The 18389-nt window shown below is 45.3% G+C and overlaps 1 long non-coding RNA gene across 2 annotated transcripts in view, besides 1 other annotated feature; it reads left to right on the top strand.

Moving 5' to 3' along the window:
• LINC02884 (long intergenic non-protein coding RNA 2884) overlaps positions 1 to 18389 on the top strand; it is a 130935-nt gene that overhangs the window by 95147 nt on the left and 17399 nt on the right. The window lies entirely within an intron of this gene.
• Positions 12987 to 14186: an enhancer, noted in NCBI's record as "CDK7 strongly-dependent group 2 enhancer chr1:112793897-112795096 (GRCh37/hg19 assembly coordinates)". NCBI's record gives its function as "activates an origin of replication core promoter dependent on BRD2, BRD4, P300/CBP, MED14 and CDK7 cofactors, with strong dependence on CDK7, by STARR-seq in HCT116 cells {active_cell/tissue: HCT116}" and the evidence as "EXISTENCE:reporter gene assay evidence [ECO:0000049][PMID:35650434]".

The following is an 18389-nucleotide window of genomic DNA, read 5'->3' as shown; positions in this document are numbered from 1 at the left end:
AGAGCTGCAAAGAGACTACGTCATGCAGTCAGATAGTTCCTCAAACAGCTGAAGAAATGAAGGTGCAAGGAGGGACCCGACTTGTCTAAGGTCAGTCACATCACTGAATAGTTGCAGAATTGTATTAGATCACCAGGATAAAGGTTCATCCAAATTGAGCACCTAAGTGGTAAGAGAGCAAGAGAGAAATAAAGTGCTCAAAGCCAGGGCAGTTAACCCGGAACGTCTTCTGGAGGAAGTGAGAGTTAGAATGAGTTTGGGGAAAGAGAAAGTCATTTGGAAGGGAAGACAATGTTTCTAGAAGGGAAATGGCCTACATAAAGCCACAGAGTCGGGTTAGAGCATTTTGCTAGGGCCTATGAGTTTGAACAAAATGGAGGGTATGTTGTCAGGTCTGATGAAAAATTAAACCATGAATTGAGGTAGGGGATAGGGAACATTGGTTGAATGGGGTTTGAACTGCACCCAAGAGTTTAGAATCAATAAAGAAATATGTCCATCTCAGGCTTTTTAAGTTTAACAGAATCTGGTTCAGTACGATCTCTATCCATCTGTTTCTGTCTCTCTCCCCTTTCATTTCTGCCTCTGACCCTGTCTCAGTTCCCAGCTCCCTGTTTCTGTGTCTTATTTGTTTCCTCTCTCTAGCTTCTGGCAGCAGCTTTTATGGTTACAAAATGTTTCCTGTAATCCCCTTAATAACTGTTGATGGGTTTCCAACTCTGAACCCATGCAGATCTCCAATCTCCAAACCACCGAGGTCAGTACTCCCTTACTCTCCCTCTTGTACTTTATGTAAACAAAGTCCAGGCTGTTTTTTTCTCTGGCCTGGACACTCAGAACAGTGACAGACACTAAAAAGGCTGGATAGTTGTCCTCCTCCTCTGTGATGGGGATTGGGAGACATGCTACCTCCACAGTTCCTGTGGATGAAGAGCCTCTCTTGCTCCCTTGAAATCTACCAGCTCTGAAATTTATGATGAATTCCCTGTCCCTACTCCTGGAGGTGGCTGCCAAGGAGACAGGTTAAAAGCCCATATTTATGGCAAGTGACACTTTCTGAACAAGATGTTGATTAAGAAGTATGTTGGGTTCTGACTCTTGCACAAACTCCAGGGGCTGAACAGCAAGTGCAAAGACCATGCATGGGGTAGGGCCTCCCACCACGTGTCTAAGCCCGGAGGCCCTCAGGGACAGTGCGGGGCCCGGAGACCTGGTAGTGCTGTGCTGAAGTTGACTCTCACTGGCGGATTGTTAAATGTTCAGGAATGTTAAAAGCTGGCTGTTAAACTGTTGGTTGCTTGAAATGGGCTGTAGTGGGCGTATTTACATCATGGAAATGGGCAAATACTATAACTCAGGATTTGTGTTTCCCGCCCACTTGGAGAACTGGTTTACCAGTAGGTTACTGAGCTATCCTCATTTCTGGGCACTTTGTGGGGAGAGTGGCAACTGCCTGAGATCCTTATGGCTTTGTCCGGGGCTCTGGCCTGGTTGAGAATTGATTCACCTGAGGGTGGGAAGGTTGGCATTAGGAGAGTAGTAGAAAAGTGAATGAGAATAAATCTCCATTCTGCCAAGTGAGGCAGAGCTGTGGCCAAGCTTCTTATCTGGTCCATGGACCCAGGACAGTGGGAAAATGTATCACAGTGACTATATTTGTTTACAGTGAAAAAATTAGCTCAGTTATACTTCCTAGTCAACACATTTCTCTCTTGGTTATCTTATCTACTGCATCCTTGCTTCCTTAATGCTCACTTTCTTTTACTAAGGGAAGGGGTGACTTTGCAATCAGAAACCTCAATATAAGAATGTCTTAAATGTTATGACTAACATTTAAGAGCAGGCTAACAGCTGACAATATGCACAGTGCTGCAAAGAGCTGACTCATGTCCAGTTGTAAATGTGAACCGTGGGACAAAAAAATGCCTAATTTGTGAAGCAAATACTCAAATGCATCTAGTCAACCAGGGCTTTTTGCACACTAGTGCCCCTCCTTGTGAGCATGAAGTGAAAGTTGCTTCTGCACTCTAAAGTGAATGTTTTGGCCTTAATTGAACATTAAGCTGCAGGGGGCCTCTTGGGTTAATACTGGACGTTAGCCTGTTGATGAACATCAAGCACTCCAGACTATTTCCTCTATATAACTATTGCAGCACACACTCAAACACACAGAGAACATAGATCCTCACAGACACATAGAGGAAGCCTTGGAGAGTCAGTATAGGAGAGATTCACCCAGAGCTATGAATCTAACTGCTGAAAACAGACCCAAGGAAAGTAATGCAATTGTCATTAACCAGAGTGAATGGCCTAGCTGATGGATGCCAGCAATGTGCGGAGGCTTGATAATCACCTGCTCATCTCAGGATGAATGTGACGCTTTCGTTCCCCCGCAAAGTATTTATTTGTGCGAGATTAGATTTGACTGGGGAATGCTTCTTCCTTTTCTAAATTATTAATGTCTAATAAAAGGTTATAGCCAAATTCCCTGACAACCTCACATGTGGAAATAAAACCATCATTTTTTACGCAGCTGCCATGCATTTTCCCTTCAAGATGAAGGAATACAAGAAAAAAGGAAAAAGAATTGGGGTTATGTTCCGCTCACTGGGGGGTGTTCCTTTTGCTATTGGTCTCCCTCTTTCGAGGTGTTTTTGGTGGGGAATGAGTCTCCTAGTTTTTGGCTCTTCTCCATTTACAAATGCAGCATGGTGGCTCTGTCCAATCACTTTAGCCTCAGAGCCCTTGCCTACTTTCAGGCAGAGCTGCCATTGTGTGTTGATGGTGAAGGAGGGGTTCTCTGATGGTGATGGTTTATGGTTTGGAGGCAGTGTGTCAATCAGCCTGTCTGTCAGTCAGTCAACAAGTCTTTATTTATCTCAGTAGGTGGAGAGCAGCCCCTTAGATGGTTGGGACACGTGGTCTGCCTGCCTGCAGTCTCTCCCTTTGTCACCATCCTACACACAGCTGTCACATTAACTCTTTCTCGGACACAATTCTGATCCTGTTGGACTCTTGCCCAAACATTTTAGCAGCTCCCCATTCCTTCTAGGGAGGAAAAAAATCTATGTAGCTTAGCCTAACATTCTGGGGTTGCCTCACTGTAACCCATCTTCAAAACTTTAGTTCTTGTCTCCCATAAGCCTCTTCATGACCCCAGATGGAACTACTTGCTGTTTTTTTTATATGTCCTGCAGTTTCCCACCTCTATGCCTTTGCTTACTCTGTTCCTCTTCCATCTCATCTCTCTGTGCACAATTTCTTCCATCACTTCAGCCAGAAAGTGCTCTGATACCATATAATTTGTATTATTTTTCTGGTACACTGAGTTTTACCTTGCTGCCCAGCAATTCTTGTGGAAGGAGGGCACTGTGGTAAAGAGCACAGATTCTGGAACCAGACCCAGAATTTGAATCCCAGCCCTGCTACTTAGTAGCTATGTGACTTCTCTGAGTCTGGCTTTTTCGTCTCTAGAATGGAGACCATTATAGTACCTATTTTGTGAGGGTAATTGCAAGGATTAGATGGTTTTATCTTTGTAAAGTGCTTAGAATATAGTCTGGTAGATAGTAAGCAACATAGAACCATTAGCTGTCATTATTTGTAAAAGAAAAAATCAGAGCACTATTAATTTACTACGGCTGGAATTCAGTATAACTTATCTGCAAACAAGGCAAGACTGATTCCAACACTAAAAGTCTATAATAATATTGCTGACATATAGAAGTTAACATTTACAAAGCATTTGCTCATCATTGCGAGTGCTCTATGTGCCAGGCGCAGTGTCTTACTTTAACTCTTGATGTAAGTATTATTTTCTCCATCGTAAAACATAAAACACTAAAATTCAGTGGAAATCAGGAACTTCCCCAGGGAGACTTAACTTGGATGGACAAGGATCAGGGTCTTCTGACCTCCAGCCACACCAGGTTTTTACTGCTGCCTCTGTCTATGATCCAACTTGCTATTCTGAGGCATTTGAATCTTCAGAGGAAGGAGTATAGAGTCATTGTAGATCAACAAGGGCCTGCTGTGTCCTGAAAAGCTGAACCGCATTCCACAACCCATGATCTCAGGTCTTACAGAGTGAAAATGTCAGGCCTACATAAAAGTGGGCAGTGAACTATGGTGGGCTATGTACCGGTAATCTGCTCTGTAGCCCACTTTCAGGAGCACTGGAGGCCAAATTGCTTTGTTTCTCCCTCCCAGGTGGCAGAGGTGTGTGTGAACTTCAAGAATATTAACTCTCTTCACTATTAGTCTAATAAAAATTAATTAGGTAGGCATATCTGCAGTAGAAATCCCCAAACAAATCAACGACATATTGTCTAGTTATGCATGTCTAGGCCAAATAGAAATGTTTCAGGATCATTTGCAATTTTGAATGATCTGACCAATTGCTCTCGTCTACCCAGTTTGGAAACAGAACACCTGCTTTTCTAGATATTCAGTCCTCAACTCTCAAAGCATTTACCCTCACTCCACACAATGACCTCTCACCCCATCATTGTCTGTCCAGGCAGTAGTTTGGGATGTCTCTGTCCCATGCATGTACTATACATAGTAGTTTATCTCAGTGTGCTTGACTCAGCATGAAGGTTCCTGGACAGCAGGGTTTTTCTTCTTATAATTCTCTCTGTAAGTGCCCCAGCACAGTGCCAACTAAAGTAGGTAGAACTTGGATGGTGATGACAATTAGCATGTTGTGTCTGGAGCAAATTAAATTTTCTAAATTATTGAGGCCTGGATTCTTAGGGTTTTTGATGATTTAGGTTCCAGTCCGGGTCCCAGCACTCATTAGTTGTGTGTGGCAGTCAGAGACCTCGCAGGACACAATGAGCACATTCAAAAGAAACAATGAGGAGGGTTTAAAGAAGGGGTATGCATGGGGGGAAGGGAAATCAACCAAGAATGGTGATGCTGTCTGGGGCCAGCAATGTCAGGGACACTGCTACTATCTCTAGGCCTGCAGGGGCAAAGGGAGGGACTGATGGTCAGAACCTGGAGAAGGCCCTGGCTATCACAGAGAGGGCTGCCTGACAGCCCCTGAGGCTGTAGACAGAGGACCACAGTCACTGCGAGACTATGACCCAATAAGGAGGGGTGAGAGGAGGAAAAATCCCAGTTTCTCTCTTCTCACACCCTCTGTTTTCTTGCTATTGCCTCCCATTGGCCTAATCCAACTATAAATCAGAGGGTAGGAGAACCTATGGATGCATTTCCTAGAAGTTAGCCTCCTAGGGCACAGAGCAGGGTGGAGAAGGGTGGAGAGTGGATCTGGGGTGGGGTAGTGGGGGACAAACTGACAGCATCCAGCCCACCTTGTGACCTTAGACAAGTTCCTTAAAAATTATTTGATTATTAGCTTTTCATTTATTTAATGGGGCTAATTATCTTATCTTGCCATAAAGTTGTTAAATGTGAGAACTATACAACATTATATAAGGGTATGAGGTTGTGATAACTTTTTTTTATGCACTTATTTGGCTTTCATTTGTTTGGATCAGTTTGACCAAAGACAGATCATGGGAGATGCAAACCTAGGGCAAAGAGAAAACTCTTGCAGGTACCTAGCAGGCCAGGGGTCATGAAGGAGCCAAGCCATTCATTGCTGCTATCTCCACAGAGTAGGACAAAAATTTTGAATTTGCTTTTGATTCATATTGAAGTAATCTTTTTCTCTTTGCTGCAATTTATTCAGGTTTATGGAGCACATAAAGACCTACAAAGGTGGCCTTTTGATGTAGTTATGCAGCTATAAACTTATACAGCTGTAATATTTGCATTTTAATGATTTCTTTATATTGCCATAATTGGAAGAGTTAATGATCACGTCAACTGGACAATGAAAACCATGCTCCTGGCAGCCAGTGCTCTTCTTACCCTCTCAGGCTCTCTGGAGAGTATGGAAGACAGATGTTTCCTGACTCCCCTTTATCTACAGCTGATGGACCACCAACTAGTAATCACTAAACTTCCCAAAGTTCTCCTTGGAAAGGCTTCCATTTGATACATACATTTTATTTGCCCTTGTTTTGGGAGCAAACTTCTCACCTCTCTCTCCAGAAGGAGCCAGGCTGGCATGTTGACTATTCCTTTTCCTCTTGCAGCTACAGTTTCTTTGCACAGTAGTTTTCCATTTCAGGCTTCGTTACTGAAGAAAGATCTGGGAAACAAAAAGGGTTTTGGGCTGGTATGTGCACATGTGCCTGTTATTTAATCATGTCCCAAGTGCTTAGAAAAAAGTCCCTCTGAGATCAGAGCTGGATGAAAGATCTTGATTTTAGCTGGAGGGGAAAGGGGGAGCTAAAAATCAGCTTGTCTGAAAATTCTCATAAAATTTGCAAAACCCTGAAACTGAAAGTTCTGCAGTGCAGAGGCATTTCCATGCAATGTAAACAAGGTCAGTTAGGGCCTCTTGGAACTATGCTGGGATGGGGGCCACTGTCAGTCAAGCTACTGTTGGGCTTGGGATGAGGATGGAGGGAACTGACCGTCAAAATAGAGATGGCTTTGGGCAAGATTAGAAAATAAGCAATCCCTTTCCTCCCACCTTTCCCATCTGCTTCTGACAAAGGGAGAAAAAGGAAGCCAGTTAACCCCCACCCTCACCCCCACTTAGTTTGACATGCAGTGCTGAAATTCTGGGCAGCTCCTGGAGGGGTGTCACATTGATTATTAGTGATAGTGATGATGGTGGTGGTGGGTCAGTAAAAGGAAGGTCTCAAAAAGGGCTGTGAAGGGGAAGTGAGGAGTACATATTCTGAGCAGAGAATAGCCAGAGCTGGCTGATGCTCAATAAGTAACTATTGATCGACTTGATCATTTAAATTGGCTCTGCAATATATTGTATGAGTCAGTGCCAACAGACATCCTTATTTCCTTATGCCTTGTTGTAGCTAATCCGAAAAGTAGTTTTATGCTTTGAACAATCACTAACCCATGGTGCAGAGAGGAAGCAAGGGCACAGCCAATATGGCAGGGGAAGCCAGCCTGGCATGAACTCAGAGAAGTTTTATAAAATGGTTCGTCATCATGAGAATGCTTGGGAGTTGACTAAAAACTGGTCTTGGATAGGGAGGAAATTGCTCCCCTTCCAAGAGCTATCAACACAAAGAACCTACATCTGTATCCCCCTAGATATGAGGGGATAAAAATCCTCTGGAGAAATTTACTTCTGACTTACAACTTTGAATTGGGCTGGGAGAAAGAAGAGTAGAAGGAAGGAAAGATTCTCCTCAGTACCATGTGGGCTTACTTTGAGTCTGAATAATTTGTTCCTAGAAGTGTAACTGGGGCTTTCTTAAAGGCCTTCTCTTCCACTTTCCACTCTCCAAATATCTCCTCTGCTCCGTCTGAAACATCAACTGAAGACTTGGGACTAATGTTCAACCATTAGAAGGTTAGGGCTCCACACATGAGAGGAGTACAGGGGTTCCACCACATTGTACTATATCTTAGTGTGACTTGACCCGACTGGCACTCTTTTTTTTTTTTTTTTTGAGATGGAGCCTTGCCATCACCCAGGCTGGAGTGCAGTGATGTGATCTCGGCTCACTGCAACCTCTGCCTCCCGCGTTCAAGCATTTCTCCTGCTTCAGCCTCCTGAGTAGCTGGGATTACAGGCGCCTGCCACTACGCCTGGCTTTTTTTTTTTTTGTATTTTTAGTAGAGACAGGGTTTCACCACGTTGGCCAGGCTGGTCTCAAACTCCCGATCTCAGGAGATCCAGCCCTCCTCAACCTCCCAAAGTGCTGGAATTATAGGCATGAGTCACCACACCCGGCCCCGACTGGCACTTTTGAATCATGACAATGAGAGGAGATCAGCAGCACTGGAAGAGGATGAGGCTGATGTAGGGAAATGGGAAGAATGAACAACATCTTGTAGACTCAGAGCACTGGTCTTTGGAGGGAACCTTAGATGAGAAATTTTTCTTGGGTTAAGGAGGAGAGTACCAGGAGGTGAGGAAACCAAAGATACACTTCACTTATTTTGGTAATTTTTCATCAATACAGATCTGATTGGTGGCAGCCCCTTTTATTAAGTAAATTTTTGTTTCTTTCTTACTCTGAATATGACCTATTGCTTTCTGATTTGTCGGTAGGAGGATCCATTCTAGATGACAGAACAAGATTACAGTTCAACTAGAGGCTTTTATTAATAGGTTAGATCTGTGTAGGCAACTGATTGACCATAAAACAGATGACATCATGGTGTTGAGCTGTATGGTTTTCAACTATCTGTCACAGTCATCTCATCTGGTATTCATAAAAATTTGGTGAAGGAGAGGGCAAAGAATCTTAAGCTCATGGAAGGGTGCTGACTTTGCTGTGGTACTCAGCAGATAAGTGGCAGATCCAGGAACTTGGATGCTCAATGCTCTCATATGCCAGTGTCAGTGGCTAAGATGGAAACATCTTTTATTGAATATCTTTCAGTACAACCCTGCTAATGAGGGGAATGAACAAAGTGGCTTTGGAAGGGCTTGGTCTCTATGTTGTTAATTATTCAAGGCAATATACTTAGAAAAAGGATGCAGGATTCTGAGAATGTAATTGTTAAAAGTCCTTAAGAACCCTACAGACTATAGGTATCTGGCCAATCAGGTTCTTTCCAGCCCAGGACTGTAGCCATTTGGCATCTTCTTCAAGTGTACATGACTAAGAATCAATGGTGATGAGGTTCTTTCCATTATATCTCCTTCATTTTGCAGAGGCTCAGGCATAATAAATGGGATGGAAATGTCTGCCAGATGAAAATTAGGACTATTTGCCATAAACACGTCTTTCCCCCACCACTCTCTGCCAATATAGGAAGAGATCCAGAAAGAGAATGAAGAAATGAGTGACTCAATTCAGATGCAACAAGAAATAAATTTCACAAAGTCTCCTTCTCTTCTTGTGCTTTTCTAGCAGCTGGATTCTTTTTGGGCTTGACTTGTGGCAGCACAGCTGTTCTAAATTTCTGGCCATTTTTGTATGTCTTAGAATCACTTTCTGCATAGTTCTTTTAGAATTTACTCCTTTATACTTATGAAATTAAAACATCCTCATTAAATTATGAACATCCATTCAACTCTCATCCATCCAATCATACCACTGCTCATCTATTTAATTAACCATCTGTTTATCCATCCATCCATCCATCCACCCATCTGCCCATCCATTCATCTAACAAATTAGCACATAAAATCACTGTATTAGGTGCTGTGGGAGACTCAAAGACCACTAAAATGCAGTCTCTATGTTAGTCAGGGTACAAATCAGAAGACAGAGATCACTTTAAGTATTTATAACAGTGAGAATTTAATACAAGAAACTAGTAATAGAAGAGTTGGGAAGCCAAACAGGAAACTGTATGGGAATGCAGAAATCAGCAACCCTTGGAAGACACTACCACCTTAGGTTGGGGAGACAAAGGGAGGGTGAGATGTTACCAGAGCCCAGAGGTTGAGGTCATTAGGTGGAAACTGGGACCATGGCGGAAGTGTTCAGTGTGAACTTGAACCAGGGTAGATGTGTCTAGTGGGACATGGAGGAGTCACAGCTGCTGAAGAGGCAGTAGTTGAAACAAAGAGGGAGAGGGAGAAATATCCTGACTTCTCCATTCCTCCTCACCTCTAGTCCTCTGAAAGTACCTCCCACTGGCTGAATCCAGCCAGAAATCTGGGAGATGCAACTTGCATGGCCCAGTTTCCCCTGTCCTCACCATAACACAGAATAGAGCAAAGAAAGGGTGAAGAATGTATCTGAGGGTAAACATGTGCAGTACTAGCACAGCCTCAGTTCAAGGGTTGGGGAAGGAGAGTCCAGGATCTTTCTTTGCTCAAATGCTAGTAAAATCTCTCTGATTTTAGAATAGCTTCATGAAGGAAATGGGAACTTTGCTAAAATAACCCAATGATCCTTTTAGGAATCCAGTAAAACACTGAGTACTCTTTCCAACATGACTACCCTCTGGAAGGGCTGTGATTAGGGACTTTTTTTTGTCCCTAGGGACAGAGCATAGTGGTCCTTCTGCCCCATGCCCAGTGCCCAGTAAATGTTTGTTCATGATGCTTGGTCATCACCTACCACACCAGGCCCTGTGTATTCCACATTCCTGTCAAACCAAATCACTCATACTTGTTTATATGATTTTGCATTGGCTGCAGCTGTTCTCTCTGCTAGAAGATTCTCATGCCTCTTGTCTCCTTGGAGAATTCTTACTCATCCTTTGATAACCAGATCAAGTGTCACATCTTCTGTGAAGACTCCTTGGGTCCTGCCTCTATGTTCCTCTAGCAGTTTCTTCATCTCTCCATGACTGCACTCAGCATCATGTGCACTAGTGGCTAGTTGTCCATGTGTCGGTCTCTTCTACTAGTCAAGAATTCCTGGGGAACAGGGACCATGTATTAACCACCTCTCACCCACACAGAAGTATAGCACAATGTCTGGTACAGAGTAATTAATAAATTTTAGTTGAAGGATTGGACATATCATCATTGTCTATGTGCAAAAACATGTAGCTGGCTAATTAAAACCTCTCTCCTCTGAGGCTCTCAATCCTTCCTACCTCCCTCAAGGGTGATGATGATTAGTTATTGAGGTAACTAGGGAGGTTGACCAAGTGAATCTCCAACCCTGGCTTTCCCATGCATGAGACCCTAGAAATACCGCCTGGAAAGAAATTCCTAGAGAAGGTGGGTCTGAGGGCTGTGAGCTGTTACTGGTACATTCCTTTTGATGTTTTAGAAATGTGTCTTCTTAGTCCAGCCCAGCCCATCACAGCTAAGCAGAGTTTTTGTCTGTTTTGAACAGCTCACACAGGTTTTTAAGCTTGATCTTGTGGGTGCATTTTTAGATATAGGAAACAAGATCCTTTCTCCCTTCCTCCTCTATATTTTATTCATTTTTTTTTTCCCCTGCCAAATGATAGACCTCCTCTGCCTGCACTTGGCTTTGGCCAGAACTTTGGTGTCTTGACCTGCTCTAGTGGAGAAAAGCACTATTGGGTTGTCTCTTTCAGGGCACCTGGCCCCTTTCTGAGTCCTACAACTTTTGAGCTCATTGATTGATTCTCATTCTTCCCCATGGCACTCCCACAGCCAAGGGGGCAGAGGATCTGGATAGGAACCTCCTATTGTTCAGGTAAAATATTAATATCAACAACGACTAACATCATTCTTCTTAAGAGTGTCAATCTTTTCTTTTTAACCTTCAATGCGTTCTCAGATAGTTCTGTAGAACAGAAGGAGAAGCTGGTAACTGTCAGCCACTTTATGGTAGATAAATCGAGGCCGGGAGAAGAAAAAAAATCACAGTAAGAGGCAGTGAGCAGAACCAGATGATGAGGTGGGTTCCTGAGTCTCAGCCCACGGGGCCACCTGTGTTGTGGAAAAGTTAAAAATGTACCTGGAATTGATCTCAGGTGCTGTCAGGCGAGGAGCCTGGACCCAGACACAGGACTGGGGAAGAGCCCTTACCTCAGCTGGTGATGGAGTCAGGGGACGGGGTCCTTCTGAGGTTTCTGCACAGCCCCTCCTCCACATCTACCTTCTTTCGCCTGCTGGTGAGAGGTGGGAGATGAGTAGTGAAGCTAAGATTGTCACTGGGACCAGATAATGACAATCTTAGCTTCAGATTTCTCTAATCTTGGTCTTATTTGTGTTTGTGGCCTTGGGCAAATTATATCACTAAGTTGGATTTCGCACCTGTAAATGGAGAAAATTCCTACCTAAAAGCTGTTTTGAGGGTTAAATGAGATAGGGAGTTTAGCCATGTACCTAGCACATAGTAAATATCAAAGAGGGAGTATTTATAATGATGATGATATTTGTCATATCAGCTCACTCCCTCTCACTTGTCCCTGGCCCTTTCCTCAGCTTTGGGGCTGGGCTTCATCTGCAGCTGCTGCTGGGCTGTCTTCTTTGTCATTTCAGGCCAGTCATAGAAAGCCTGCAGCTCCTGAGCTCAAACTCATGGGTTTCTTCCACGATCTTTTGTTTCCTAGTCTCTCTCCCTGTAGTTTCCAGTTCCCAGTTACAGGCAGACCTCCTGGGAAGACGGTTGAGAGGAGGAGGTCTCAGGAGTGAAGGGGGAAGGCTGGGCTCTGTGGACAACGGCAGGAGAGGGAAAAGGATAGGGTTATTCAAAAGGAAGGAGAGGCCCAGGGTCACTGTTTTGAAATGAATGTGTGTGTGTATGGGGTAGAGAGAGGGTGTGGTAAAGATGGTAAGCACTGTTGCTCAGTTAACTTGGAAATAAGAAAAAGCTACCAGAATCTTCAGCTAAGCATTAAAACAGAAAAGGATCATAGAGAATGGAGTGATGAGAGAACAGCTAGACCCAATCTCTGGAAAGTGTAAAGCAGCTGGGCCCAATTCCAAGGCCTATTCTTCCCATACCTTTTCCTTTTGGGGGTGCCTCTGCCAGCCCCCACCACCTTCCAGTAAGTTCTGCTCCTAATATTGTAAATTGCTCTGATTTCCGTCTTGGTAGGAATTGACCTCACTTTCATATTTTCCAAGGGTACTTGTCCTACAGAGTGTCTGGCTCCAAGCACCAGGCCTTCATCATTATCTCCCACAGTGGGGCTTCAAGGTGGCCCTGGCTGTGCTCTCTTTATGTGATTTCCTTTTTTTTTTTTTTTTTGAGACAGAGTCTCGCTCTGTCACCCAGGCTGGAGTGCAGTGGTGCGATTTTGGCTCACTGCAACCTCTGCTTCCCGGGCTCACGCCATTCTCCTGCCTCAGCCTCCCGAGTAGCTGGGACTGCAGGTGCCTGCCACCATGCCCGACTAATTTTTGGTATTTTTAGTAGAGTCAGGGTTTCACCGTGTTAGCCAGGATGGTCTCGATATCCTGACCTCGTGATCTGCCCGCCTCGGCCTCCCAAAGTGCTGGGATTACATATGTGATTTCCTGAGAATCTCTTTATGTGATTTCCCTCCTGGGCGTAGGCTCAGACACTCACTTCTCTCTGCCACATCCTTGTGCCATGTACTATTTCCCTTTTTCACTTTTATTCCTGGGGTGGTTGGAGCTGGGCTTTGCTGCTGAGCAGGCCTGGCCTTCACTGCTCTCTGGGGAAGGTCAGATCTGGCTGCCTGTGGACATTTCCGGGCCATTTGACAAATGGGTCCATGTAAATGGGGGTGGCAAGTGGCTGGCAGGGAGGGCGGGGATGAGATAAAAGGGTGGCTCTCCTTGCCCTCACTGAAAGGTTTGGAAATTCCACAGTCATGGATTCTCCTCCCTTTTCCACTCCAGTCCTCAGCTTTCTTTCATCATTGTCATTTCCTCTCTGTTCCTCCACTTCCAGCAATGACTTAGTGGCTCTCAGAATAACAAGTGTCTTCAGGGATGCCTACAGCTAGAGAAGTTTGGCGTCTTATGATCTCTAGAACATGCCCTTGCAGGGACTCCAGATGTTGGTGAGCCAAGATACCCCCCGATGTGTTCTTTGAACTGGATCCCAGCCAGGGTTGGGGAAGAGGCAGGGTTGCCCTGTGCAGGGCTAGGGTGGAGCAACATATCTGCAAGATGATGAATCATGCTCCTGGACGCTGGCTTACCAATCCTTTGAGAATGTCTGAAGACAGAGGGTTCTTGTTTGGCACTATATATACGTTGGCTATGGAAATGGGTGGAGGAGGTCACAGCCTGGCCCATTTATGTGGCAGTGTCCACACTTCTCCCTAGATTGGGCTGCTCGGATATGCAAATATCTTCAGGGCTGTCCGCAGTATCTATGTTTTTTTATGAAACAGCATGTTTCACTGGCATGGATACTCAGGAACTAGATTTGAACTCACCCATTGGTCTGCACTATTCTATAAAGATCTGAGTTTGTAAATCTATTTCTAAAAACATTAGGCCTCTTCCCCAATATGTCCTCAAGAGTTGTGCTGATCTAACCAGATCCATAACCCCTGGGAAGCTCCCAAATTTGAAACATCACTAAAATCCATCCAAGGATCAAAAATCTGAGTCTGCGAGCAAGAACTTCCAAATGAACTGGCATCTTGTCTGGTAATACACAAGCTCTGGACCTATGAAAGAAGGCAGAGTGCAATGGGGCAAGACAGTGGATTTCCCTGGGTTCAGGTCTGAGATACTCTCAATGGTTCAGGGCTCGAGCCACATCTTGGGACACAGTACGACCCTGTAGGCTTGGGCAGACACTGAACTAGACCCATTTGTGGGGAGGGGCACATCTGGAGGAAACAACTGCTGTGAGTAAGTACCTGAGGCAGGAAGCAGTGGCTTCATCCAGCAGTCCGCATGGGTAAGGATGTAGGGCAAGGGAGGGGACAGCTCTGGTGAGAGGCCTTCTGAGAGGTGGGTTTCACAGAAAGACAAGGAATCCAGCTCATGTGATTCTTGGAGGCCAGACAAGCATGTGGTTGTCATCAAGTACATTTCCCTACGTTGCTTCTTACAGCATTTACTTATTTATAACACTCTGTCATCTCAAAAGCAATCTCATGTGGCTTTATTATATAGATGTTATTAAAATTGTTCTTGAGCTTTAAATCATTAATGTGAAATGCCCAGTATAGACTGGGATTGCAAAAACAACTATAAATAGATCCATAAATTGAACCAGAACTCTATTTTTTAAAGCTTTTAATTTTGATATAATTTCATATTTACAGAAAAGTTACAAAAATGCCACAAAGAATTCCTGTTTAGCCTGTACCTAGGTTTACCAGTTGTTTTCATTTTGACCCATTTGTTTCATGATGTTATTAGGTACTCTTGAAAGCCAAGGGCAACACTCTAACTCTCAGGCCCAGGCTCAGGAAATGGGTGGAAGAGGTCACAGGCTGGCCCATTTATGTGGCAGTGTCCACACTTCTCCCCAAATTGCGCATCCTCAGGGCTGTTCACACTATCTCTGTTTTTTCATGAAGCAGCATTTTTCACTGACATGGATACTCAGCAACTAGATTTGAACTCACCCATTGGTCTACACTATTTTATAAAGGAGGGAAGTGTTCGGGGGTTAGAGGGGACATGTGATCAGAGGCGAGGTGGTCCTGGAGAGACAGGGGACAGGGCAGGTCAGCAGAGTAGCAGAAAATGTGCTGAGGCAGAAAATGTCACTGAGGCAATTTTCCAGAGGGATGGGGTCACTGAAAGATCAACATGCCCAATTCTAGCTCTGTGATCTTGAACAAAGTGCTAAACCTTTCTGAGCCATTATTTCCTCACTGGTAAGTAAAGAGATTAACATCTACTTCGTTGGGCTTTATGGAATAAGCTGGTGTGTGTAAGGTATCTTACAGTGCCCAGCTCACAATGAGTGCTCAATCATGGTAGTTTTTAATAATGATGAAGATGACGATGGTTAGAATAATAAAAAGAATACCTCGTGAGGTGGAGATGGGAGCCAGAGGCTGGGACCAGCTTGATGCAGCAGGTGGGTTGCTGGTTTTGCCTGCAGACCAGGGAGGAGCACACAGACCTGGATCCCAGGCGGGATTCATGGTTCCCTGGGCATGATGGGGAAGCTGCTGGCGTGGGGAGGACCACGTGAAGAATTCTTCAGCATGAGAGAGCCAAGTTCCTCTGGCCAGGCTCTAGAGGTTGGAGATCTTGGGTAAGAAAAAATTAAAACTGACAGCCATAGAATGCCCCTCTTTTGGCCTGAGGAAGGATGAATTGAATATTTGAGATGCTGGAAGCCCTCCTACATGGTAAGTTCAAAGAACTGAAAGTGTCTCGCTTCTCTGAGGATTCCAAACAGACTTTGCTAAAATGTAATTAAGTTCCAAGTCCCTGGAAATCAATCATGCTCCCAGGAACTAATACCTTGGCTTGTTGATTAGAAGTGAGGGGGAGCCAGGGGCAATTACTCTCTGAGAAGCAAATTCTTGGCTCAGAGATCCAAATGCTCAGAGATCCAAGGACAGAGAGCTGAGGGTGGGGGTGGAGGGTGGGAGTGGGGGTAGGTGTGGAAGTGGAGTTAGGAGAAAGGGTGATGAAGCAGTCTCTGGGAACTGCGGCTAATTACACATGACCTGTTTCTTTGGGCTAAAGTTCTTCATTGGCTACAAAGCCCATCTCCTGATCTATACTTGAGTCTCAGGAGCTTTTCTTTATATTGGGAAGAGACTGAATAGAAGTGATCACTGGATCGCAGGGCTCAATGAGGCCAGCAGTCATTATTTAATGCGTTTCGCTCCTGCCAAGCCAGAGGGAGAGCAAGTGGAGAGACAAGACAGACTGCCAGTTAGCCCCTTGTTGAGAGGCTCCTGAGTGCCCAGCCCTGCCCTGGGCTTGGTACTTGCTCCCAGAACTTGACAAGCATCCCTCTGAAAGGGGTAACACTGATCAGGAATGCAAGAGCCCTGGGTCCAGCCAGAGTTCTGCCTTGAACCAACCACATGACTTTGGTCCAGCTGGCCTTCTGGCCTCAGTTCCTCACCTATAGAATGAAAGGTTTGGACCACACAATCTGTAAGGTCCCTTCCAGCACAGACACTCTTCTCTCCAATTCTTTGCCACAGAGGAGGGGATGGAGGACGGCCTGGTGGTTGAGAGCCAGGGTAAATGCAGAGAGAAATCGGAGAGAGAGAGTACAAAGAGATGAGTTAGATGCAGTAGAGATGATGGATTGAGGGTTGAGGACTGTGTACAGACTCAGAAAACTCAGTCTGCATAGCACATGATGCTGGCTCTGCAGCTGAGGCTCCTGGAGGGCTGAGAGGACAGCAGGGGAAGGGGAGTGAGTCCCATTGTGACCTGAGTACTGATCAGCCTGGTGCTAGATCTCTCAAACTAGAAGAGCAGGCCCAGCTTCATTCAGACCCAGGCCGAACTGTCTGAGCTGCCCTTCTCCAGCTCATGCCTCTGTATCTGGACATGCTGTGGGGAGTGAGGGTAGAGAAAAGGAGAGGAGGGTAGTCAGAAACCCTTTCAGAAGCAGTGCCTCAGTGTCCTTCTTCTTTTGGGGTCTAGGGCAGCTTCAAGTGGGCTCCAGATCTAAAGCCTGCTGATTGTCCATGAGCGGCCTGTGGCAGGGCAGCCCGAGGCAGAGAAAGAGACTAGGCTCAGAGGCAGAGGCTGAGCAGAGGCTGCAGGATGGGCCTGAGCCTAGTGTCAGTGGTGCACCTGACCCAAGGCATCTGTGGACACTTGGCTGTCTATGATCCAAGGCCTGGGCTGGACGGGCCTCAGAGGGTGTGTGTGAAAACACTGGGAGACACTTCAAAGCCCTTGCTATAAACAATGTGAAAAGAAAATCACCATTGTTAACCTTCAAGCCTGGACTCCTGAGCTCCTCTGTCTCCCTCAAGTGGGTTGGCCCCATGCCCTTAGGCAGAATGCAGAAGGCAGCAGCTCCTGTCTCTGAGAGTTTTCGTTCTGGGGTTTCCTCCAAAATTTTGGGCTGGATATCCCTTTGCAGATGAAGCAACTGAGCTTGTCCCACTGAAATGAGTGGCTCAGGGGATTGGTTAAAAGCAGGGACTTGGGAGTCACAAGGACTTTGGTTTGAATCCCAGATCACCCACTTATTAGCTGGGTGACTTAAGGCGATTTCCTTATAATAGGAGACTCATCCTCTCATCTGAAAAATGAGGACAAAACTAATATCCTCCTCATAAAGCTGTTGTGAGGATTAAATGGATCATCTATGTAAAGAGCTTAGCACAGTATCCGGTTCATAATAAGAGGCTGTTAATACTACTGCTACTACTACTATTATTATTATTATTAAGTTCCTGGCAGAGCCAGACCTAGAATTCAGGTCACCTTACTCTAGGTAAGTGCTATTCTGTAACTTCACCTTGGCCTGAGCTGTTTTGGGTTCCTCAGAGGCAGGGCGATGATTGAGATGAACTCTGGACCTTTGAGCTTCAGAGCAGTTCTCCTGGTGTCTGCACTCAACTCTACCTGGGTAGTTCTATATCCCCTACTTCCATTTCCCCACCTCTCAGAGCCATATATGAGTGGGCTGAAGGCCTTCTGACCTCCCCTTTCACACATGGCAGCTGCCTCTCACTGGGCACACCTGAGTCTTTCTCCTGACCTGCTGTTTGTTCTGGGCCATTGAGGGCTGTTTGCTTTCCTAAGCCAAGCTGCCAATGGCCAATTTTCCATGAATCATAATCGCCTTACCCCATTAGGCAGGATAATTAAGATAGGATGGTGGGCCGTTTGCTCAGCACACACAGGAATCAACAGCTGTCCTGGCTCTCCAGAGAACCCCAGTATCTGTCCACAGCTGCAGCTGCCTCTCTCCCCATGAAACCTGGCATCATTCCCCCACCCTGGGGGATTGGAGGGGGTGGCAAACTGTCTACAGTCCCTGGGGTCCTTCAGGGAATTCCACAAGGTATTACTGAGCACAATTGCAGGAGATGAGCTGCCCAGTTTGCTGAGAGCTGGTTGTAAC

This window comes from Homo sapiens, chromosome 1, assembly GCF_000001405.40.
Source record: "Homo sapiens chromosome 1, GRCh38.p14 Primary Assembly".
NCBI classification, from domain to species: Eukaryota; Metazoa; Chordata; class Mammalia; order Primates; family Hominidae; genus Homo; species Homo sapiens.
The sequence above is the reverse complement of the archived record's forward strand: the minus strand, read 5'-3'. Positions and strand labels throughout refer to the sequence as shown.